This window comes from Homo sapiens, chromosome 5 (assembly GCF_000001405.40).
Source record: "Homo sapiens chromosome 5, GRCh38.p14 Primary Assembly".
Lineage (NCBI taxonomy): Eukaryota > Metazoa > Chordata > Mammalia > Primates > Hominidae > Homo > Homo sapiens.
The window spans coordinates 159,567,912-159,592,353 of NC_000005.10; the positions used below are offsets into that span (position 1 = coordinate 159,567,912).

A 24,442-nucleotide genomic window follows, 5' to 3' on the forward strand; every position below is an offset into this window, starting at 1 on the left:
CCTGACGAAATCGTGAAGTAGCAAAGTTTGTCTTGATGATTCCTGTTCCAGAACATCTCCTATTCCCTTTCTGGAGTCCTTTTGTTGTCCACCATTTCCCATTCCTGTGCCTTCCTGTTGCACACCTGATACCTCCTATTAGCTTTATATGCCTGTCTCCCCTCCAAGCGCAGCTGTCCCCTGGCCCTCATCAAGGCTCACTTCTCCTCTGTGCCACTATGTCAATGAGATTTCCTGATGGATAGGGTGATCTATAATTTAGTATCCAAAATTGGACACGTTTGAGAGTAAAAGAGAGTTAATAATAATCATCATAGTCTGTTTGGGCTGCTGTAATAAAATAGTATGGACTGGGTAGCTTATAAGTAACAGACATGTCTTTCTTACAGTTCTGGGGCCTGGGAAGTCCAAGATCAAGATGCTGGCAGATTCAGTGTCTGGTGAGGGCCTGCTTTCTGATTCATAGATGGTGCCTTCTCACTGTGTCCTCACATGGTGGAAGGAGCAAACAAGCCTCTTTGGGCCTCTTTTATAAGGAAACGATCCCATTCATGAGGGTGGAACCTTGCAAAATGCCCCACCTTCTAATACTATCACCTTGGGAGCTAGAATTTCAACCTATGAATTTTTAGGGGGACATAAACTTCACATGATATCAATCATTATACCTACATGACAACATTTTAGTCCACCCCCAAGAGTATATTTGTATTTCCACAGGGTCTTCTAATGATATTTTGTCTTGACTCCGAAAGGGACCCTTAAGGTTGAAGATTCTGATATTCTGACATAGTAGCAGGTGAGCTCAACAATTTGGGGGCAGGTAAGGCTTTTGTAGCAAATCAGAGCAAACCATGTAAGTGTCTAGGGAGTCCCATTTAGAAATAAATAAATCTAACACCTACCTTTGGAAACTTTTAGTTTAATTTGGAAAGTCAGGACCAACAGGGATGAAAAGTGTTTGAGACAGGTTTAGAGAAAAAAGTGATGGGTGTCACTTTTTAATTAAAACAAATTTTAAACCTCCATCCTCTTCACCCCTACAACAACAACAACAACAAAATACTAAACTATACTATTTATGGAGGTGGGAACTTACCTTCTATGGGCTGGCAAAAGTAAGTAGATTGACCAAAAAATAGCAAGGATTATTAATAAATGCTATGAGAGAAACAAACTAAGGGTGAAGACAACCAAGTAGGGCTACTTCAGGTACAGTCAAGAAAAGCCTCTCAGACAAGCTGGCATTAGTCTTAGACCTGAAGTATGAGGATGGCCCAGCCATGTGAAGAAGCAGGGGACAGCACCCAGGACAAGAAGGCAACACATGCAAAGGCTGTGATTCCTGGGGTGAGCTTGAGGTGCCTGGAGGATGGTCAGGGAAAGATAGTGTGGAACAAAGTAAATTGGAAAGGCAGGCTGGAACCCTGAAAGTCTCCATAGAGTCTGGATTTTATTCTAAGTGTAATGAGGATCACTTGAAGTTTATGAAATTTACATATGCTGAAATGTACAGAGCTTGAGTGTGCCATTCTACCAGGAGTGATAAGTCCATATGCCCTACAACAAATTCCCTAGTCACAACATAGAATATTCCCATCAACCCAGGAAGTTCCCTTATGCCTTTTTCCAATCAATTACCACCCCCAATAGGCAATCACTCTTCTGATTTCCATCACCATATATATGTTTTGCCTATTCTTAACTTCATATAAATAAAATCATACACTATGTATTGTTTTGTGTCTCGCTTTCCCTCAGCATAGTGTTTTTGAGATTCATCCAAGTTGTTCATTCCTTTGTATTGCTAAGTAACATTCTATTGTATAAATGTTCATAATTGGCTTATCCATTCTGTTGAAGGGCTTCCCCCAGCCCCCAGGTTTTGGCCATTATAAATAAAGCTGCTATAAACATTTCTATATAAGTCTTTTTGAGGACTTCTCCTAGGTAAATAACTAGGAGTGGAATTGCTGGATCACAGACTAGGTATATTATTATTTTCTTTTATGTTTTGAATTAATTAGCTTTATTGTGGTATAATTTACATACAATAAAATTCACCCTATTTTAAGTAAATTATTTGATGAGTTTTGACAAATACATGCAGTGTGTAACCATCACCACCATCATAATATAGAACTTTTACATCATTCCCCAAATTTTCTCATGCCTCTTTGCAATCAATGTCCTTCCCCTACTCATTGTCCTTGGCAGTCATTGATTTGCTCTCTGTCATCACAGTTTTACATTTCCTAGACTTTCATATATTAATGAAATCATATGTTATACTGTCTTTTATGTCTCACTTCTTTTACTTATAATGCTTTTGATATTTATCCATATTGATACATGTATTACTAGTTCACTCCTTTAAATTGCTGAGTAGTATTCCATTGTATGGATATGATACCATTTGTTCATCCATTCATTCATCAGTTGATACACATTTAGGATGTTTTCAGTTTGGGGCTGTTATGAAAAAAGTTGCTATAAATATTTAAATATGATTTTTAAGAGTGAAATTGCTTAGTTATGTGCTAAGTATATGTTAACTTATATGAAAGTGAAAAATATATTCCAATGTAGCTGTTCATTTTACATTTCCACTAGCAATGCCAGAGAGTTCCAGGGGCCTCACAACCTTCTTAAATTTTGACAATTCTAGGCCGGGCACAGTGGCTTATGCCTGTAATCACAGCAGTTTGTGGGAGGCCAAGGAGGGAGGATTGTTTGAGCCTAGGAGTTTGAGACTAGCCTGAGCAACATAGTGAGACCCCATCTCTACTAAAAATATAAAATAAAATAAAATAAAATTTGACCATTCTAGTTAGTGTGTAGCAGAATGTTATTTGATTTGGCTTTTGACAATTTGATTATGGTTTCTCTAGGTGTCAGTCTCTTTGGCTTTATCTTACTTGGAGTTTGTTGAGCTTCTTGGATATGTAGGTTAATGTCATTGTTGGTTTTTTTTTTTCGTCAAATGGAAAATTTGGTGATTATTTCTCCAAATACTCTTTCTACCCCTTACCTACCTTGTCCCCACTCCCATTTGGCATCTCTTGGTATGCTTGGTGTTATTTCATGGGTCTCTGATGTTCTGTTGATTTTCCTCCATTTTCTTCCCTTTTTATTCTTCAGACTGAGTCATTTCAATTGACCTATCAAGATGCTAATTAATATTTGCAAATTCTTTCTTTAGCCAGTTCACATATGTGGTAGAGCCCCTCTGGTGGATTTTCGCTTCAGCTATTATGCTTTTCTACTCCAGAACTTGTATTTGGTTCTTTTACATAATTTCTATCTCCTTAGTGATAGTCTCTATTTGGTGAGCTATTAGTCTCATAATTTCCTTTAGTTTTTTGGACATGGCATATTTTAGTTCTTTAAAGACATTTAAAATAACTGATTTAAATTATTTGTCTAGTAAGTCTAATGTCTGTGCTTTTTCAGACAGTTTCTATTGTTTGCTTTTTTTCCCTGTATATGGGTCATATTTTCTTATTTCTTTACATATTTCATAATTTTTTGAAAACTGTTATTTTAAATAACATAATGCTGCAAATCTGGAAGTCAGTTTCTCTCCCCTTTCTAGGATTTTTTGTTGTTGTTGCTGCTTTCTGTTGTAGTTATTGTTTGTTTAATGAACTTTACTGACCTAATTCTATCAAATCTGCATTCTTTGTTGAGGGTGGCCACTGAAGTCACAGCTTAATTAGCTTACTGGACAGCTAATGACTGTGCAAATATTGTCTTAAGTGCCTAGAACAAATAAGTCACCCAGTTTTTGCAAAGCAGCTATGTGTGAATACAGGAGCATTCTCTGAACACTTAGCAAGAGAGTTGACAGCTCCACCTCAGCCCTCAATTTTCTCTTTCATGGAGCCTCATGGTCAGCCAGAAGTGAGAGCTTAGGGCCTTCTCAGGCCTTTCCTGTCACTGTCCCATGCACATGGCTTCTTAGATATTCAGGAATATGTCAGAGCTTTTCAGAGCCCCTATGGACATCTCATTCCTCAGATTTTCCCTTTAGGCTCTTTGGTTAATCAATTGTTTGCCCAAGCTTTATCCAGTACCTCAGACAGCCATGATGATAAGCAGCTGCCAGTAACTATCTCTGACAAATGCCCCCAGGGAGGCACTGGCTGCGCTCTGACTCAGGTAAATAAATACAGCCTTGCTATTGAAGTCTTCCAGGGAACCACCAGACAGGTCAAATGACAATTCTCTGGGAGTGGGATTTTAAAGGAGCTCTAACCCTACCTATTCTGCCCCTTCCAGTGGCTGCCAGGTTGCTGGTTTTCACTGTGATGTGGGGCTGTTAGTTTTCAAGGCTAAAGTGAAGCTGGAGAATGGGGATGGGAGTAGGTCAACTTACAATGCCACAAAGCTCATTGTTCTTCATAAGGTTCACCTGTTTTTCTTGAATAACTGCTTCCCAGATTCACACAAGACTTTGGTTAATTCCTAGAATTCTGAAAGAGTTAATCCTGACCATTATTGCAAGTTTTCTCATTGCTTTTACAGAGGAATTTTCAAAGACGCTTACTTTGCCATTTTTCTCACTTGGCTTTATTTTGCATTGTCCTAATGACTGATGATATTGAAGAGCTTTTCATATGCTTTTTTGTCATTCTCATAGACTGGGGAAACATCTGCCTAAATCTTTTTACATTAAAAAATTACATTACATTCTTGTTAATGAGTTTTGAAAATTCTTTCTATATTTTGTATACAAACATATCTCTCTACCAGAGATATGTTTGGCCAATATTTTCTCCCAGTTTGTAGCATGTATTTTCAGTTTTGTAACGGTATATTTTATAAAGCAATTTATTTTTATTTGGCTGAAGTCTAATTTATCATTTTTTTTTCCTTTTATGGTTAATGCCTGTGTCCTGTCTAAGAAATCCTTCCCTAACCTAAGGTCACAAGGTTTTCTTCTAGAAGTCTTATAATGTTAGTTTTATGATTAGGTTTATGATCCACTTTGAGTTAATTTTTGTATCTGGTGTGAGGTTCATTTTTGTAAAGGTATATTCACTTGTTCATGAACCATTTATTGAAAAGACTATCCTGCTCCTCATTAAATGTCTTTCACACCTTTATCAAAAATCAATTTACCATATGTAGTGATTCTATTTCTGGATCCTCTATTCTGTCTCATTTTTGTGTATGTCTATGCTTACACCATTATCACACTGTTTAATTAAAATAGTAAGTCTTGAAATTATATGGTATAAGTCTTCTAATTTTGTTTTTTTTTTTTTGATAGGTGCATATTTATAAAAAACTTCCCACAGTATTCCAAAGTAGATGTGCCATTTTATCCTCCAAACAGCAATGTATTAGAGTTCCAGTGGTTTCCAAAGCCCCTGTCAACATTTGGATTGTCCGTCTTTTTTGATTTTAGCCATCCTAATGGGTATGAGATAATATCTCATTGAAATGTTAATTTGCCTTTCCTTGATAATTAATGACTTAGAGCACCTTTTCATTTGCTTTCTGTCCTTACATATGTCTTCTTTAGTGACGTGTTTTGTAAAGTTTCTTTAATTGAGGTTTTGGTCTTTTAATTATTGATTTGTAAAATGATTATATATAATATATATTATAATATATATATATTTTATAATATAGATAATATATATTATAATATATATTATATACATAATATATATATTATGTATATAATATATATATAAACATTTTCCCACACTCTAAGACTTTTTCTTCTTTTTTTTTTTTTTGTCTGAGACAGAGTCTTGCTCTGTTGCTCAGGCTAGAGTGCAGTGGTGTAATCTTGGCTCACTGCAATCCCCGCCTCCCAGGTTCAAGTGATTCTCCTGCCTCAGCCTCTCCAGTAGCTGGGATTACAGGCCTGTGCCACTATGCCTAGCTAATTCTTGTATTTTTAGTAGAGATGGGGTTTCAGTATGTTGACCAGGCTGGTCTTGACCTCCTCACCTCATGATTCTCCAGCCTCGGCCTCCCAAAGGGCTAGGATTACAGGCGTGAACCACCATGCCCAGCCTCTTCCATTTTCTTAACTGTGTTTTCTGATGAGCATTAAGCTTTTAATTTTGATGAAGTCCATTTGATTTTTTTCTTTAATCATTAGTGCTTTTTGTTTTGCCTTTCCCAAGGTTGTGAGTGACTTTCTTAACGTTTTAAAATAGAAACAGCACACTTTTAGCTTTTATGTTTGGATTTATGATTCATTTTGAATTATATTTTTGGCCATTATAGTGGTTAGTTGTTGTTTTTTTCAGATGTTTATCCAGTTGTTTCTGAGCCAGCTCCTTTCTCGCTTTGAACTGCCTTGGTGCTTTCTTGAAGCATTTTTTTTCTTAAATTTTTATTTTATTTAATCTTCACAACAATGCCACTGGGTTAATATTAGCACCATTATATTTATTTATTTATTTATTTTATTATACTTTAAGAATATACATCCTTGAAGCATTTTAAGCAGAGAAGTACTATGATGCATTTGCTGATGTGAGGAATATGGACTGGAGGTAGTAGGGAGATCAGTTAGGAGGCGACTGCAGCAGTCCAGGAGTGTTGTGATCGTGGTTGCAGTCAAGGCAGCAGTAGTGGAGATGGGGAGAAGAGGAAGTCACATTGTTAGTCCAGATTGTTGGACACTGATTTTTGTTGATCCTGCATGCTTCCCACTTTCACCAGTCTCTACAGTTTCAGCACACAGAAAGGGACAACACAATGTGATAGGCCAATTCCATGAATGATGAGTCAAGGGTTAGCAGTTTCAGTCCAGGCTCTGCCACTAAATCTTAACTAATCTTATGAAAAGAGCATTTTCTCATAAAAAACTAGGTCATTAATGATGTTGTCTTTCATACTAAAATGATATAATTCTATGCTGTTTTCTGAATGCTCCAGGAAAGGTGGCCAATGAATTCCTGATGTCAATAAACTCTTTTTTATCTTTACCTTATCTGAGCTCTCTGTAACACTAGGGACTTCACCAACCATTCCTTTCCTCTTGAAATTCTCATTTTCCTGGGCTTCCATGCCTCTACTCTCCTGATTCCCCAATTTTCTCTCTGGTCAGTTTTTCCCAGTCTCCATTGCTGCTTCCACTCCCATTTGCACAACTTCTAAATGTTGGCCTTACCAGGAGTCTTACCGTGGGCACATTCTAATTCCACATCTCTTCTGGGTCATCTCTTTCATATTCATGACTTCAGGTATCTAGATACTATTTCTTCAGGTATCTAGATGCTATTTTACATATTGCTTTTTTCTTTTTTTGAGACAGAGTCTTGCTCTGTTGCCCAGAGTAGTGACGCAATCTCGGCTCACTGCAACCTCCGCCACCCAGGTTCAAGTGATTCTCATGCCTCAGCCTCCCAAGCAGGGGGGACCACAGGCTCAGGCCACCACACCCAGCTAATTTTTGTATTTTTAGTAGAGACAAGGTTTCACATGTTGGACAGGCTGGTCTCAAACTCCTGACCTCATGTGATCCACCCACCTTGGCCTCCCAAAGTGCTGGGATTACAGGGTGATACTATTTCACACATTTCTATCACCAGATGATATCTTTCTCTCTTGAATTCTGAACTTACGTAGTTAACGTTTACCTGGTCATCTGTACCCAGCTATGTCCTAAGTCCAAAATTTAACTCATTAACATATCCTCCAAAACAATCTCCCCTCCTTGATTCCTGTTTTGATGACTTCTATTTCTACCTACCCAACCTCCCAAGTCAGATGCCTGAGAGTCATTCTAAACTCCTTTCTCTCCTTGACTGTCCACAACCAATCCCAAACACTTCCCTTCCCTTTCCTAAATATTTTTCATGTTCTTATCCACGTTGGAAGGCTTATGAAAAAGGGTCACTATTAGTAATAATGCAAAGATAACCAGCGTAAACCAGTACGATTCTGGGCAAACAGCAATGTATGATTAGCCTAAAGTTGAGAAACAGAAATAATTCATTCCAGAGTGGTTTGAGAAAGCACATTGCTCTCGAAGAACTGAGAGAATTACAGTCTGCTTGGTCTAGGATGTGTGATGGGGACTTATACAGTGAGAGATGAAGCTGGAAAAGTCATTGCAATACCAGATTCTGCAGGTGTAAAATGTTTCTCACCTTGAAATTATCCATGAGTGGTAGACAGTACTGGTTGCTTGCTTAGAATTCATTTTCTTTCCTTCCTAGCAAAAGCCATCTCCCATGTAACCACATGCTTCAGGAGAAGCTGACCCTACACCTAGCTCCACTGGTGAGTCTAATTGGTCCAAGGGTCGTCTTGGTCCCTTTGCCAGAGATTGGCTTATGGGGTGAATGATCCAACTCCAGCCAATGAAACATTAGGGGAATCTGCTGAAGGATTTCCAAAAAGAGTTTCCTCATTCCAAACAGAAAACCATAAGAAAGGAATGTCATGCCTATAATTGCTGCAGCTATTTTAATTCCAAGTATGAGGTTGAAACAATCATGGATGGCCAAGTGAAGAGATGGAAAAAGCAGGATTCAGGATAACTTTGTGAGTTGCTAAGTTACCAGCCCCTGCCCTACTTCTGGACTTCTGAAATATGATATGATACTTGCTTTCTTACTTAAGTTGGGTTTTTCTGTTACTTATAGCCAATGACACTCCGATATGCCATGAAATTTAAGAATGTGAAGTAATGGCCTTGACTTTCGCAGAACTGGAAGGAGTGTGACTGCCATGTCACTTACTGTCACTATCACTTGTTTGACAATTACGGCTGCTATTTATCTTACCTTGTGTTGTTGCTTATCCTTCCATATGATTATGTTGAATATCCATCTAATCTGGAACTTTAAAAAATCAAAGTCAGTGATAGATCTTTTACTTCTTTGTAGGCCCATAATCCATTACATAACCCACACATTTTTGTCAATTATTGACTTCCCCCTTATTCTACCCACATAGATTTTTTTGGAAGATGACCAAAATGCTATCTCTATTTGGAGATAATAATTAGTCTCATCTTCATTGGCTTCTTCTCGAATGCGGAGGGAATTATCGGATGAGTACATTGGAACATGGTCGCCATGTGGCCTGCTGCCCCCGTGTACCACTTGGAGACCAGCCTAGCATGGAAATGACCAGATGTTGGAAGCTGAGCTACTGGTGAGTGAAATAAATAAGTTAGCTGTCCCACTTCCCATCTGCATGGACAGCTTCTGCATTGCGAAACTGCAGGTGCTTGTCATTTCACATGGCAGCAGTTAATCTCTTAACCCCTTCCTAAACTTGGCATTGGAAAGCCCTAGATGGCCAATTAGGCTGTGTGGGTGTATGTACACTAGTGCCCATCTGCCACAGGAATGGAAGCAGTGGCTCAACTCACATCAGTACCCAGATACACAGATGCTCCGGGATCTGAGGAAGTGACCTATAGAAAATGAAAAATGACCAGGTAAAGGCAATACGAAGGGAAGTAGAGGGGCTTATTAGGCAGCTCTGGACAAGCAGAGAAAAGTGATGGTTCAACACGTAGGGTGCGCCAAAAATGGGCTTGTTTCACTGGTTATTTGAACACAGAAGCAGGGCTGTCTCCCTCTCTCTCTCTCTTTCTCTCCATTCATTAATTATTTTTCTGAGTAGGCTAATAATATATGCTTTTTGTGAAACATTTGAGAAATGGAAGAAAGTATAAGAAAAAAATAAAAATCACTTATACATGTATCTTCTAATATTTCATTATATCTATACAGGCCCTTTTCTTTCTAGTTTTGTGATCATTTATTCAGTCAACATTTCCACAAATATTTAATGCATTTTGTATGTGTCAGGCACCATACCAGGCACTAAGAATATAGTCGTGATCAATAATTGGCATAATTCCTTATCTCATAGAACTTTGGGTCTAGCAGAAGTGACATATAAACACACAACTGCATTAAGAATTATTTAATCTCAAATTTCACAAGCTCTGCAAAGAACAAGTACTAAGTCTTCGGGAAGAATTGGGAAGTCTGGATGTAGGGAGTGAACCTAAAAGAAAAACTTTGAAGCTGAGACTAGACTAGTCAGAAACTGCTGGCCAGGGGTGAATGTGTTGGTCCTAGAGGGGTAGAGTAGGGGCACGCTAGGAATAGAAAGGAAAATTGCTGGTGGAGGGAACAGCTTGCCTGAGGTCCTGATGAGGAGACAGTGACTAGATGGGGGTGAAATGGCTTTGTGGAAATTAGAAAGAAAAATAGGAGCCAGATCCTACAAGACAAGTGTTGACAAACAATAGCCCAGAGGCCAAATCCAGCACCCCACCTGTTTTTGTAAATAAAATTTTATTGGAACAGAGCCACACCCACTCATTTATATGTCTGTGGTTGTTTTCACACCATGCTGGCAGTGATGAATAGTTGTTACAGAGACTGCAGGGTCCACATAGCTTAAAATATTTACTATCTGGCCCTTTCCAGAAAACTTTGCTGACCTCTGCTATGGGGTTTTGTGGCTGAGCGTATGGTGGAATTCTTTTATCACAAGTACAATGGAAAGGCTTTGAGACGAAAGCAAGGAAGACATCATCAGATTTTTCTTTAAAAGAACTCTAGCTATGGAAGCATGTAGAGATTAGAACTGGGGACTCTGGGTGGATATTGGGCATCTAAGAGTATCCAGGAGACAGTGGTTGATGGTTTGGACTCCATTTGTGCCAAGTGGGCACAGGAAAAAAGAGACAGATTTGAGATCTCTTTAGCATTTGTATCAGACAGGACTTGGTGGCTGATTGGGGAGGGGAAGTAAGGATAGAGAGGTGTTCAGGAACACCCAGGTTTCTGCCTGGTGCACCTGCATGGATGAGGGTGTCATCAACCAGATGGGGAGCCATGGAGGAGAAGCAAGATTGAGAGGGAAAGTCAGGAGGTTTTAGTGCCTGTCTAGTTTAATCACAATGGGTAATACAATAAATCCCCTATTAATGAACATGTAGATTTTTTCTATTATTTTTCTTTTTTAAATAATGCTGCAATGCAGCAAAAGGAACAGTCAGCAGAGTAAATAGACAACCCACAGAGTGGGAGAAATCTTCACAATCTATACATCTGGCAAAGAACTAATATCCAGAATCTACAGCGAACTCAAACAAATCAGTAAGAAAAAATAAACAATCCCATCAAAAAGTGGGCTAAGCACATGAGTAGACAATTCTCGAAAGAAGACATACAAATGGCCAACAAACATATGAAAAAAATGCTCAAAATCACTAATGATCAGGGAAATGCAAATCAAAACCACAATGCAATACAACCTTACTCCTGCAAGAATGACCATAATAAAAAAATAAAAAAAATTAGATGTTGGACTGGAGGCAGTGAACAGGGAACACTTCTACACTCCTGGTGGGAATGTTAACTAGTACAGCCAGTATGGAAAACACTGCGGAGATTCCTTAAAGAACTGAAAGTAGAACTACCATTTGATCCAGCAATCCCACTACTGGGTATCTACCCAGAGGAAAAGAAGTCATTATTTGAAAAAGACACTTGCACAGGCATGTTTATAGTGGCACAATTCACAATAGCAAAATCGTGGAAGCAACCCAAATGCCCATCAGTCGACGAATGAATAAAGAAACTGTATATATATATATATATATATATATATATATATATATATACACACACACATATATATACACACACACATATATAAACATATATGTATATACACACATATATAAACATATATATACGCATACATATACATACACACACACACACACACACACACACACACACACAATGGAATACTATGCAGCCATAAAAAGGAATGAATTGACAGCATTTGCAGTGACCTGGATGACATTGGAGACTATTATTCTAAGTTAAGTAACTCAGGAATGGCAAAGCAAACATCATATGTTCTCACTGTTACGTGAGAGCTAAGCTACAAGGATGCAAAGGCATAAGAATGATACAATGGACTTTGGGGACTTGGGGGAAAGGGTGGGAGGGGAGCAAGGGATAAGAGACTACAAATATAGTGTGGTGTGTACCGCTCGGGTGATGGGTGCACCAAAATCTCACAAATCACCACTAAAGAACTTACTCATGTAACCAAACACCACCTGTACCCAAATAACTTATGGAAAAAATAAAATAAAATAAAAATAATGCTGTGATGAATTCATTTGTGCATATATCTCATTGTTTCCTTAGACTACAATCCTAAAAGCAGAATGGCTGGATAAAAGACTACACACATGTTTAATCTCTTTGATCCATATTGCTAAATTGTCCTCCAGAATGTTATTTCAATTTATACTTGCACCAGTGCGTGCTGCTGCAGCCATTTTTGGTTCAATAGGCACCAAATTGCTCTAGGGTTGGGTGTCAGAATCTGTCCTATGTCTTAAAATAAAACAAAAAAAATCTCTATTGCTTCCAGCTCAAGGTATTAATGCTTGAAAGATATTCCATGTTTGAAGGGATTTTTGTGGTGCTGGCCTACAAGTTGACCTTTTTGACGTGAATAAGAAACATTCTTCAAAACTGTGGTTGACATCCAAGGTAGGAATTCTGGCACAAGAATCTTTCGAGTTCCATTTCTCCTTGGTGTGATAAAAGGTAACTTACAACCCGAGTCACATTAAGCCCCTAATACATGTGAGCTGGTGTTCCAGGCCACATCTTCTGTCTGTCTCCAGAGAGGATTTTGTTTTTTGTGGCACACCCATCACCTGCCACACTCCACAGCCACACCGCACACTCCACAGTTTCAGCTGCCACCTAGTAGCAGCCAGACTCATGAAGCCTTTTGGCACAAGGCCTAGGTTTGCAGCATCAGGGAAGCCTTCTGGGGTGACCATGTCGGGAAAGGGAGGTCTGATGTTGAAGCCAGGCACCCTTGGATATGAATCCCAGTTATATCTATTAGTTGTTTTCTATCTTGTTAGGTCATGTAACTGCTCTGCCTTCACTTTCTTGTCTGTAAAATGGGAGATTTTTATAGCTAGCTCAGAAATTGTTGGGAAGAGTAGTGACAAGGCCCAGCAGATGCTGAAAAATAAAGCTGGGGAGTGGGAGAGGGTCTGTGGAATTTGGGGGGCGTCTGCCCTTGCACTTCAGCCCCGTAAACTCTGAGACCCTAAAGTCTCAGAGTTAATCACAGCTCAATACACCAAATTAATCATAGTCCTTTATTTAAGAAGGAAGAAATAATGAGTGAGTTTAATTTTCCAATCCCACTTTAGGCGGTCAGCTCTCAACCCTGAGTTCTAGTTTGATTGCACTGTGGTCAGCTCTCAAGTAGAGGAAGATAATCATGGGTAAGGCGTGCTGCAGGGCCTGTTTTCTGCAGATGTCTTTCTCACTAGCCGAATGTTCCACCTGAAATTCCAGCATGTATCTTGTTGTCTCCAAGATGCCCTTGTTAAAATACAGATATCTTTAAGGGAAGCTGCTAGACGTTAGCACAGACTCTGGAGTCAGATAGGCTGGGGATAAATTCCCGCTCCCCGACTTGTTAGCTATGTGACTTTGGAAACATTACTTCACATCTCCGTGTCTCAGTTCCTTCATCTGTTCAATGGAAATAACAATAGTGTTAAGGGGAGAGTAGATGAGATAATGTCTGGGACAAGATAAGTGCTCAATTAAAGTTAGCTATTGTTAGTAGCTATTACTAAACCCTGAGAAGAAGGGGTAGGTGGCGATATGACTCCACCAAGAATATGCTTAAGTTTCTCCTTCATCTGGGTCAGTTTCCATAGGCTTTGCAAAATAGATGCTATTTCACAAATGAGGACAACTAAATCTCAGAGAAATTAACTGGTTCTGAGTCACACAGCTTCATCAGGATGCCATGAAGAAACAGGATACAATGCACACTCTCCTTTAGCTGTGCCACCAATAACCCTCCTGCATAACTTCTGGCTTCCTAAGAGAGGACTAATGGTTGTAGCCCCTGAAATCCACCTACACACTCTCCCTGAGATAGTCTGTAGTGGACAGCTCCCAAATGCTTTCCATTTTGAGGAAAGACAGCTTGAAGAGCAACTTGCAAATGCAAGGTCAGATACCAAGCCCAGAGGCCGTACGGATGTCACACCTCAGTTCTTATGGTGATGACTTGGCATTTAGAGATGAAAAAATCATCTCCAAGGCAACGTAGGTGACTTATTTACAGATGATTAATCCCATTGTATACTACTGCCAAATCCACTTCTGGCTTCACGCCTGGTGACATGGGGAAAATACCACGGCTTCTTCGTCTTGGGTACATTTCCATCTGCTGGGCATTCTCTGGGTTCCAGGGGGAGGTGAGTCAACAGTCTGTCAATGCTATGGATTTAGTGTCTTGATGTGGGTTCTAATGAGAGAGTTTTTATAATGTTTCACGCCCTCCCACCCCTGCCAGCCACAATGGTAATATCAAACCCAGAGACCAGGAACAGAGGAACTTGCTTTCTTCCAGCTTTTGATCTTCCACCTAATATGATCAGAGAATTCTTATTTCATTTAATATATCTTTCATAAGTGCCTACTCTGCACCAGATACTGTCCCAGAATAGAAGAAAGTACACTTCCGGAAAATTTGCTATGATCATGAAGAAACTGAACTCAGACAATAATAATTATAATAATATCTCCTATTTATTAAGCATTTGCTGTGTGCCAGTTGCTGTACCAGGAACATCACAGTTTATCCTCCCCAAAGCCCTTGGCTGTAGGTCCTATGGTATCCCTGTTTTTCTCTTAATAAAGATAAAACACAGAGAGGTTAAGAAGCTTTCCCAGGATGGCACAGCTGGGCAAGTGGTGGAGTTGATTTTACGCAAACACAGTCAGTTCTCATTATTTGTGGCAGTTATGTTCTATAAAGTGGCTGTGAGCACTGAATTAACAAGTACTAAACAGTTGCTCCTACAGGAAACACAGGGTTAGATTCCTTTGAGCCTCTGATCAATATATAACCTTGTTTTAATTATGTTTTGTTTAAAGATATCTTATTCAATATACACTTTTGATTCATTAACACTGAACTTATAGCAACAGCACTGTGACTCATCCCCAAATGATGCTTCTCTTACGCATATATTTTGTCTGTAAGGCACACAGCAGCCTTCTACTTAGGATCACTTTAGCACTATGCTTTGGGACCATTTTAAACAACAAAATCACCATCATGAAGCATAAAAATGAGAAAAAATGGGGCACTAAATAGACCACAAAAGAGACACTTGTTCTCAGGCTGAGAGCTGAAATGAAAAAAGCAGAGTGTCACTTTGTTGTCCCACCTCAGCTAGGAATGCTTGTGTTGAGTGACTCAAATTTTTTGCTGCTCTAAGAATACCTGCAAGTGACCACAAATGTGCCATGAGTGTTGATCTTAAAGTTACAAATAAATTTTAGCATGTAGAGAAATTCCATTCATAAGGAGAATTGGGTATAGTCTTATTCCAGAGTATGTTTTTACTCTTATTCACACTTTACCCCCCTGTGGTCAGCAGCCTCTAAGATAGCCTTCAGGGATCCCCACCTCCTGGTCTTCATGCCCTTGGTAACACCCTTGGTAATGCCAATCCCCTTGAGTATGTGCCAGACCTAGTGACTCATTTCTAATGAATAGAATGTGGTATAAGGTCATAGGATATCACTTTCAAGGTTCAGTTACAAAAAAACTATAGCTTCCATCTTGGACACTCTTTCTCTTTTATTAATTTTCTGGGAAGCTTGCTGTCATGTTTTGAACTGCCCTATGGAGAAAGCAACATGGCTAAGAATATGAGAGAGCCAACAGGACAATGAGGACCTCAATACAGCAAGAAACCAAATCCTGCCAACAACCATGTGAGTAAATATATCCTCCCCCAGTCAAGACTTCGAGTGAGATTGCTGCCCTGACCAATACATTAGTTGTAGCCTTGTAAGAAACCTTAGAACCAGAGGCAGTAAGCTAAGCCATGCATAGATTCTTGGCCCAAAGAAACTATAAAATAATAAGTTTTTGTTTTAAGTCACTAAGTTATGTTTTAAGTCACTATGTTTTAGGGTAATTTGTTACAAAGCAAAAGATAACTAGCACAACTGCCTTCTCACATGCTACATTTATTAGATTGCATGGAATTATTAGCTACATTCTTTACAATGCTCTACTACATCTAATCCTCACCATGACCTGGTAAATTACTGATATTATTCTCATTTTGTAGATAAAGCAACTGTCCATCAGAAAGATTGAGTAACTTGACCAAGGTAACACATCTAAAGGTGAATCAGGTTTTTGACCACAGATTTGGTCAACCCCCAAACTCTCAAGCTAGACTTGATTTGCACAATACCATTGAGCTGGGATCAGAATGCATTCCTCTTGATTTCAAGGTCCATTTTTTTTCCTGTTTCTCATTTAAAAAAATAAACCTTCAAATGAAAGAAAGATTATATGAGATGGAAAGATTCAGGTGGACATAATGATATTCAGTGTCTACCACTACTTCTTTCTAATCCTCATCTGCAAAAGAAGGCCTTTGAGCAAAGGATTGGGCAAATGCTATTTCTTACAAAGTTACCGCACCTGGAATCTAATTGTATTAATCTTCTCAGGTTTCCATAACAGAATACCAGAGGTTGGATGGCTTAAACAACAGAAATTTGTTTTCTCACAGTTCTGGAGGCTGAAAGTCTGAGACCAAGGTGCCAGCATGTTCAGTTTCTGCTCTGGCCCCTCTTCCTGAGTTGTAGATGTCCACCTTCTTGCTTTGTTCTAACACGGCTCTCACAGAGAGAGAGGGTTCTCTAGTGTATCCTGTTCTTGTAAGGACACTAATTCCATCAGATTAGGACACCTTATAACCTCATTTAACCTTACTTCCCTAAAAGCCATATCTCCAAATACCATCACATTAGAGGTTAGGGCTTCAAGATAGGAATTTTGCGGGGGTGCTGGTAGGGGACATAATTCAGTTTATAATATAAATTGACATTCATTTATTGGCCACTAGATCCAAAACTGGATAGAGATTAAGGATGCCACTCCCAGTGTATAAGCCTGAAACTTGATGTGGAAAGGGACCAAGAGATATCCAGTAACCAAATCAACTTCTTACCTCTCTACTCCTTGATTTCTGACAGACACACTGAGACTGATAACCCTGCAGTGGAGGCCTGAACTTAGGCTATGTGTAGCATTAGTAAATGGCTCAAACAACTCCAAACTCCTCATTTTACAAATGAGGACCTTGAAGCTCAGAAAGATAAAATGACTTGCCCAGGGTTGCAGAGCTGGCTAGTGGCAGGGCCAGGCTTGGGTTTAAGTATAATGGCTTTCACCCTCATGCCCCTTCCCCTTGGCCAGGCTAGAAGATGGGTGTCCTGAGAAACCCTCAGAAGGAGAACACTGGACAAATCCTTGAAGTCTCCCGGGCACGTGGGGATTGTGATGGAGGGGTGTATTGTGTGTGTGAGTGTGTGTATGTGGAGTGTTGCTGGGCAGCACAAGACAGCATAGCTGGCACCTTTGTTTTCCTCATGATTCAGTTTCTTCTCTTGGGCCCCTCTTCCTGTGTAAAATAAAAGCCCCTCCTGGCAGTTTACTAAGGGTAGGGATTGACAGACTTTTTTTTTTTTTAGGCTCTTTAGGCCAGACGATCTCTCTTGCAACTCAACCCAGCCATTGCCGCTTAAAAGTAGCCATAGACCATGTATAATCAAATAGGTGTGGCTGTGTGCTAACAAAACTTTATTTACAAACAGAGAGCAGGCTGGATTTGTTCTAAGGATATATTTTGTAGAGCTGCTAGAGCTAGGGTGCTTTCTTTGTCCCTGACAAACATCCTCACATGAACTTACTCATCCCTTTTCTTATTTTGCCAAGTTCTCAGATTCTGAAGACCAGGACTCCTCATGAATCTGTCAGCCCCCCTCACCCCAGCTCTGGGCCTCTGTGTCACCACCACTGCCACCTCATCATTATTTTATTTCATGCCAGTCACTAGACTAAACACCTTACAGGCTTTATCACATTTAATTCCTTCAGCAACACCAACAGGTAAGTATCACTCCACATCTAACACGACTTGCCTGAGGCTTAAAGAACTAAGTAACTTGTCCAAGGTTGTTGTAAATACTAAGTGCAGATTTTTACCTTTTTTTTTAAAAAAAAATTTGTGAATCCCAAGCTCTTAATAAAATCTCTACTAACTCCTGAGTAGATGGTTTTAAACTAGCACAATGAGAAAAATCACCAAAGTTAAAAGAATATAGAGTAACAAGCTGAACCCTTTAATCTCAATTGTAGGCCTAGAGATCTAGAGCAGTGCTCACTAGGCCAGGGAACAAATGAAGGTGAGCATCAGATTCTGCTGGGGAGATTGTTAAAATGCACATTCCTGGGCCCCGCTCTCAGTTATTCTAATTTCTTAAACACAGGAGGAGACCCAGGAATCTGCATTTAAGCGAGCATCCCAGATTCTAGGACCAGTGAGAGGCACACAACTTCTGAGGTCCTACTAAAAAAATGCTGTCATCAGACTTGATGCAGCTAAGATGCTTTGGGGCATCTACTTCTGCATCTCCGGTCCTTTTGGATGGCTCAGCAGCATGACAGCTCTCGCTCTGATTCAGCACTAATGTCCTAACATTATGCTCCTTAGAAAGCATAACTGCTGTACTTTAAGTACAGCCCCAGGAGAATGAGAGCTCTGGTTTTCTTTCCTTTTCTCTTCTCCTCTTTTATTTCTCAATTCTTGGCATGTCTATGAATATCAAATGAGTGAATTTTATCAGAAACTTTTAATTTCTTAATGTGGCCCTTTCAAGCCCCCCCCAGGACTTCGGGGAAAAGAGAAAGGGCTCATTTCAATTTGAACCTTCAGTAATCGCACTAATACAAATAAGCAAGGGATGACTACTTGGCACATACATGGTTGGTATTTATGAGAATGTGGAGGTTAATGCAGATTTTGCATGCACGATTTTTTTCTTCTGCTTGGCGATTTAGGCACTCACATCTCTACCCCACCAGCAGCGTCTTAGAGGCAGTGAGAACTCTATTTTAGAAGGTGAGTCTGTCCTTTCAAGTTGACAACTTGCTTGCCTTTCGGTCCAACCCCAGTCACCTGCCCCAGACCCATTCTAGAAGTGTCCCATTCTCCTCATGAATGAGAAATGAATGTGCTGTTGCAGGCTCGCAGGCACAATGCATCATTCTGAGTGTGTGCTGGGCTCCTCGGCTTATATTCCAAACATGCTGTGAATGCTCAATTGCAACCACTGGGTTTCTTCAACCTGACTTGCAATCAAATGGATATCGTTTGTGCGGGGGTGGTAGAAAGTGAGTAATGGTGTGTAGTTTCATGGAGATGCTTGTTCTAATAAAATATTTCAAGGTCCAGTGTTCCAAATCTCATTACAATTTTGCTATGAAAAGAAATGGGGTATGTATGTGTGTGTATTTGTGAGAAACTGGTAACAGGTAAGGTTTCTTTCTTTCTTTCTTTCTTTCTTTTTTTTTTTTTGAGACAGAATCTTGCTCTGTCACCAGGCTGGAGTGCAGTGGCACAATCTCAGCTCACTTCAACCTCCGCCTCCCAAATTCAAGCGATTCTCCTGCCTCAGCCTTCCAAGTAGCTGGGACTACAGGTGCACGCCACCACACCCAGCTATTTTTTGTGTTTTTAGTAGAGACGAGGTTTCACCATATTGGCCAGGATGGTCTCAATCTCCTGACCTTGTGATCGGCCCACCTCAGCCTCCCAAAATGCTGGGATTACAGGTTTGAGCCACCACACCTGGCCTATTTCTTAATCTGTTAGGAAAACAGAAAACAGCCCGGGAAAAGAAAGAAAACAGAAGTCAAGACGTCCCATCTGTGATACAGAATAACCCATGACTTAAGAATATTTCATGTAATGACTTCAAACTACAGTAAGACTTCAGTACTTAAGAGCATAGATGTTGGAGTGAGATGGTTGGGTCTAAATCTTGGCTCCACCATTCATTGGCTCTGTGTCTTTGGGAACCTTCCATAACCTCTGTAAGTCTCAGCCTCCTTGTCTGTAAACTGAAAGTAATAATAGTCCTTCCATCATTAGGCTGTTGCAAAGATAAAATGAAATAGTGTATGTAAAAGTACTTGCATGCCTGGCACATAGTAGGAGCTCAATAACTGTTAGTTTTCCATTCATCAGGTTTTCATTCAAAAAACATTTATGAAGTGCCTGTTACATGTCAAGCACCATTTTTACGTACTTATGAAAAAGCAGTGCACAAACAGACAGGAATCCCTACCTTTATATCTAACGGGGTCAAGCAAGTAAAACGCAACTGATATGAAGTGGTGTTGAGTACTTTGGAAAAAATGAAGCTGGGCAACAGCGCTAGGTAATGGCAGAGTGAGCAGGGGTCATTTTCCTGCTGCCCCTGAGCTGCATGAGGATTGCAGTCTGGGACATAAGGAGTGGTGTGGGAATGTTGAGTGTCTTGTAATGATAGAAGAAAACTGGGAAAAGAGGCATAAAGAAATTAGCACTGACCTAATGATGTCAAGGCAGAGAATATTAGTTAATGGAAGCTTGGGAAGAAGTGGCTTTATAGATGATGATTATTATCTTTACTATAAAAGGCTCCCCAGCTTGGGATCAATGGATGAGATAAAGGGGGCATCTGGAACTCCTGAATTTTTATGTAAAATTATATACATATGGGTAGGTATGTGCAAGGAGAAATTTCATACATTTTATCCCATTCTCAAAGGGACCGAAGACCAAAACAGAGTTAGGACTGCTTATCTCCTTGGTTCATAAGAAGGTGGCCACACTGAACAGTGTCAGTTGACACCTTTTGTCCTTGCAAGAGTATGAATGATGCTCCCTTTCATCCTCCAAGCTGTGGAGATAATTTTAGGGTCTCCTGAGCTGTAAGGCTCCTACCTTACTTCTTTGTTTGATGCATCCCTACATCTCTTAGACGGTATTCAGCCCTGGGTTGAGAAAAAGAGTCTAGAACACCTTTCAAATGGAATATTGGGAGCACAGGTTGTACAGCTCACTATATGCCTAGGCTGATGTCCTTGGGTGTTCCCTGACCACAGAGGAGAGGACAGGAGTGGCTCCCCTTTAGGAATCGGGGTAAGTTTCCAGAGGATTCCTTCCAACATGCTCTTTCCCATAAGTTCGCTTTCACGCGCTCCCTCATTTCCCAAACTGAAACTGTAACAGTGTGCCAACTTGGCTGTAGGCAGGACAAAGCAAAAAACAAAGCACCCGGACAACCAATAAGATAGATGATGAGAGCTGGGGGCCCCTAACACTGGGAACTTGGGTGGCAAAAATCCCAGATCTTTTTCCACTGGACTAAGCTTGAGGTATGTGTCTGAGTGTCCAAGAAGTTTATTGAAAATGGTGACTGGAAGATCCTTCCCTTCTAGGCACTTAAAATGTCTGAATTTTGCTTCCTTATCAGCAAAACGAACAGAGGTAAATGGAAAGTAAATGTTAAGCTGCATAAAGAGCCAACAGAATTAAATATAGATGAGTGACCTAATTCTAGCATCCCCACTCCTGACTTTCTACTTCATTTCTTTTTGGTCTCCTTATGTGGCTACCACTTTCCCTGAACAAGAAAGACTTTGGTTAATGACTTTGGACTCTTTTGGGTCTTCTGACCTTGGAGCAGCCAGAAAATAGAGCTGTGTTCATAAAAGAGAGAGAAAAAGAAGAAAAAAAGCAAGAAACTGGGAATTGGAGTGTCCATTGAGTGTCCATTGGAGTGACCCTCTTGGTCATTTTTGGAAGGCTCATTGTTTAAGTTTGGAAGTCTAAGGCCATCGGTGGATCATGTTACATTTGCTGCATGGCTTTGGTATTATAAGTGTAAACCCACTAGTGGTGGGCTTTCCAAATGATTCAAATTTATTATAAAATTATTGGACATAACAAAAGATTATCCAATATGAAACTATCTAATCTGACTAAACCAAACATTTTCTTAAGATATACCACAACATAGGCACATACAGATTCCTTTGGGAGAGAAGAGGCCACAGCACCCCAATCCGTCTACATGGTATTGTGATGGCTCATGTGGGTGTGGCTTGAAGTTCTGGATGCTCTCTCACTCAGAAGCCACCTAGAACAGTGCTGAGGATGGGATCTTGGATGAGGTCCAGAGTTCCCAGTCCGAGACTGCACCTTCAAGTGCCAGGACAGTGGAAGCAAGTGTCATGAAGCTGTGGAAGCTCAGGGCTCTTATACTTGGTAAACCCTGCTGGATATGACCAGTGTGCATGCTGGCTCTTCTACCCCCACCCATCAGGCTGTAGACTTTACGTTTACACAAATCAGGCAATCCTAATATGTTGATCCTGATACTATGCAGTGGCCCTCGATGGGATGTCGGCAGCTCTATTAGATTGATACAATAAAGTATTATGGGACTCAGAGTCATAATTGAACATATACACCATACTGTGCAGAGGTCATGGGTCAAATTGAGTCAAAAAATGTTTTTTTTTCTACTTTTGTGTCGTTTTTGCCTTCACAGTGGGTTTGTTTGCTTGTTTTTGACACTCACATTTTAAAACCATGAGACTGCATATGACAATGCAATTTCTGGTTTTGTGTATATGTGTGTGTTTTTTTAAACAGAAGATATAGGTTTCCTAGGCCCTCATTATCACACACCAAACAGGAGCAGACATTTGCTTTCCATTTGGCTCCTGTTTCTACCTGGCACAGTCCTCTGTCCCTGCAGGCATGTCACTCTGCTGCCTTGATTTGGAAGCCTAGATTCTCCTACAGTCTCAGGTCCAGACTGGTGATGTCCAAGACTCCATTTAAGGAAGGACCTTCCCAATGACCTTCTCTACCCTTTCCGGATGGTAGTATCCGTGGCTGCTACCTGCAGGACTTGGCACATCACAGAGAGACTGTGATGAGAGCCCACGACTCCCTTAAGATGAAGGCACTAGTGTTAGAGCACCCCATGAGTAAAGGGGAAGTGTCTTAGTCTATTTGTGCTGTTATAACAAAATACTGTAGACTGGGTAATTTATAAACAACAGAAATTTATTGCTTACAGTTCTGGAGGCTGGGAAGTCCAAGATCAAGAAACCAGCACATTCAGTGCTTGGGGAGGGCCTGTTCCTCATTGGTGGCACCTTTTGTGTGTCCTCACATGATGGAAGGGCAAAGCAGTTCTCTAGGGCTCTTCAATAAGGGCACTAATCCCATTCACAAGGACAGAACCCTCATTACCTAATTACCTCCCAAAGGCCCTGCCTTCTAATATTATCAGCTTGGTGATTAGTTTTCACTCTATGAATTTTAGGTGGACACAACATTCAGAACATGGAAGGAGGGGAAGCCTTGGCTTTTCTTTTCCTTTTTGTTTTTGGAATGGAGTCTTCCTCTGTCACCCAGGCTGGAGTGCAATGGTGAGATCTTGGCTCACTGCACCCGCCACCTCCCAGGTTCAAGCAATTCTCCAGCCTTAGCCTCCCGAGTAGCTGAAATTACAGGCACCCACCATCACACCCATCTAATTTTTGTATTTTTAGTAGAGACAGGATTTCGCCATGTTGGCCAGGCTGGTCGTGAACTCCTGACCTCAGGTGACCCACCCGCCTCGGCCTCCCAAAGTGCTGGGATTACAGGTGTGAACCACTGTGCCTGGCTGCCTCAGCTTTTCTATCTCAAAAGCTTATTGGTAATTTTCTCCTCTAACTTCCTCACTCATAGATGTGAAAACGCAAACCCAGAAAAGTTCCATGGTTGTTCCAAAGTCCCACACCGAGCCAGCAGTAGATCCAGGATGAAGGTAGAGGTCTTCTGATCCTTGGTCCAGATGATTTCCCTGCTCCTTTTCCCTTGTCAGTGTGTTATTCTGGGATGAAGCCATCACTCTGTCTGCCCTCACAACAGAAGCTTCTTCATTTGTGTTCACTTTCTTTCTCCCTGCTGGTCAGTGGTCTTGAATTTCACTAAGTACTGCAGGTGTGAATTGCCTTGGGTTACATCTTTTGGATGGAGTCTATGGCAGTCAATATTTTCTCAGGATGCTATCTCTCAGCAAGACTTAAGCCAATAAATGGCAAGCGGGCAATCAACAAGGACTTATTAATCCCCTGATCTTTGTTCAGCACCACAGGCTTTCTGAAGAACTATTATATTTAATTCCTTCTGTAGCAAGTAACAGACACCCTTGTCAAAGTTGCTTAAGCAAAGGAAGAATTTATTGGCCCCAGAATAAAATATCAAGTCATGGGAAGGGGAGGGCCATAGCTGGGCCTTGAGAAAAGTAAAGTAGAACTTCAGCAAGATCAATATTCTCTGTTTATATCTCACATCTGCTTTTTACTGTATGTTGGGCTTATTCTCCATATGATAGAAAAATGTCCACCAATGTTTCCTGATTGTATTCTCTCTACTTTGGCCATGGGAAAGAAAAGACTTCCTCATTCTGGGTCCTCCAAGCCTATGGAAATTCTC

The 24,442-nt window shown here is 40.4% G+C and overlaps 1 long non-coding RNA gene across 2 annotated transcripts in view; it reads left to right on the forward strand.

Moving 5' to 3' along the window:
- Positions 1-24,442, forward strand: part of LOC105377684 (uncharacterized) — a 114,041-nt gene that overhangs the window by 52,335 nt on the left and 37,264 nt on the right. Inside the window, exons 7-16 of one of the 2 annotated variants that reach the window (XR_941139.3) lie at positions 390-440; positions 721-799; positions 5,276-5,425; positions 8,193-8,256; positions 8,397-8,520; positions 8,935-9,135; positions 12,403-12,524; positions 15,689-15,806; positions 17,830-18,003; positions 18,955-19,015. This is a non-coding gene — a long non-coding RNA (uncharacterized LOC105377684). Of the gene's footprint in view, positions 1-389; positions 441-720; positions 800-5,275; positions 5,426-8,192; positions 8,257-8,396; positions 8,521-8,934; positions 9,136-12,402; positions 12,525-15,688; positions 15,807-17,829; positions 18,004-18,954; positions 19,016-24,442 lie in introns of those variants that run through there. The other variant, XR_941141.2, reaches the window with a different exon arrangement.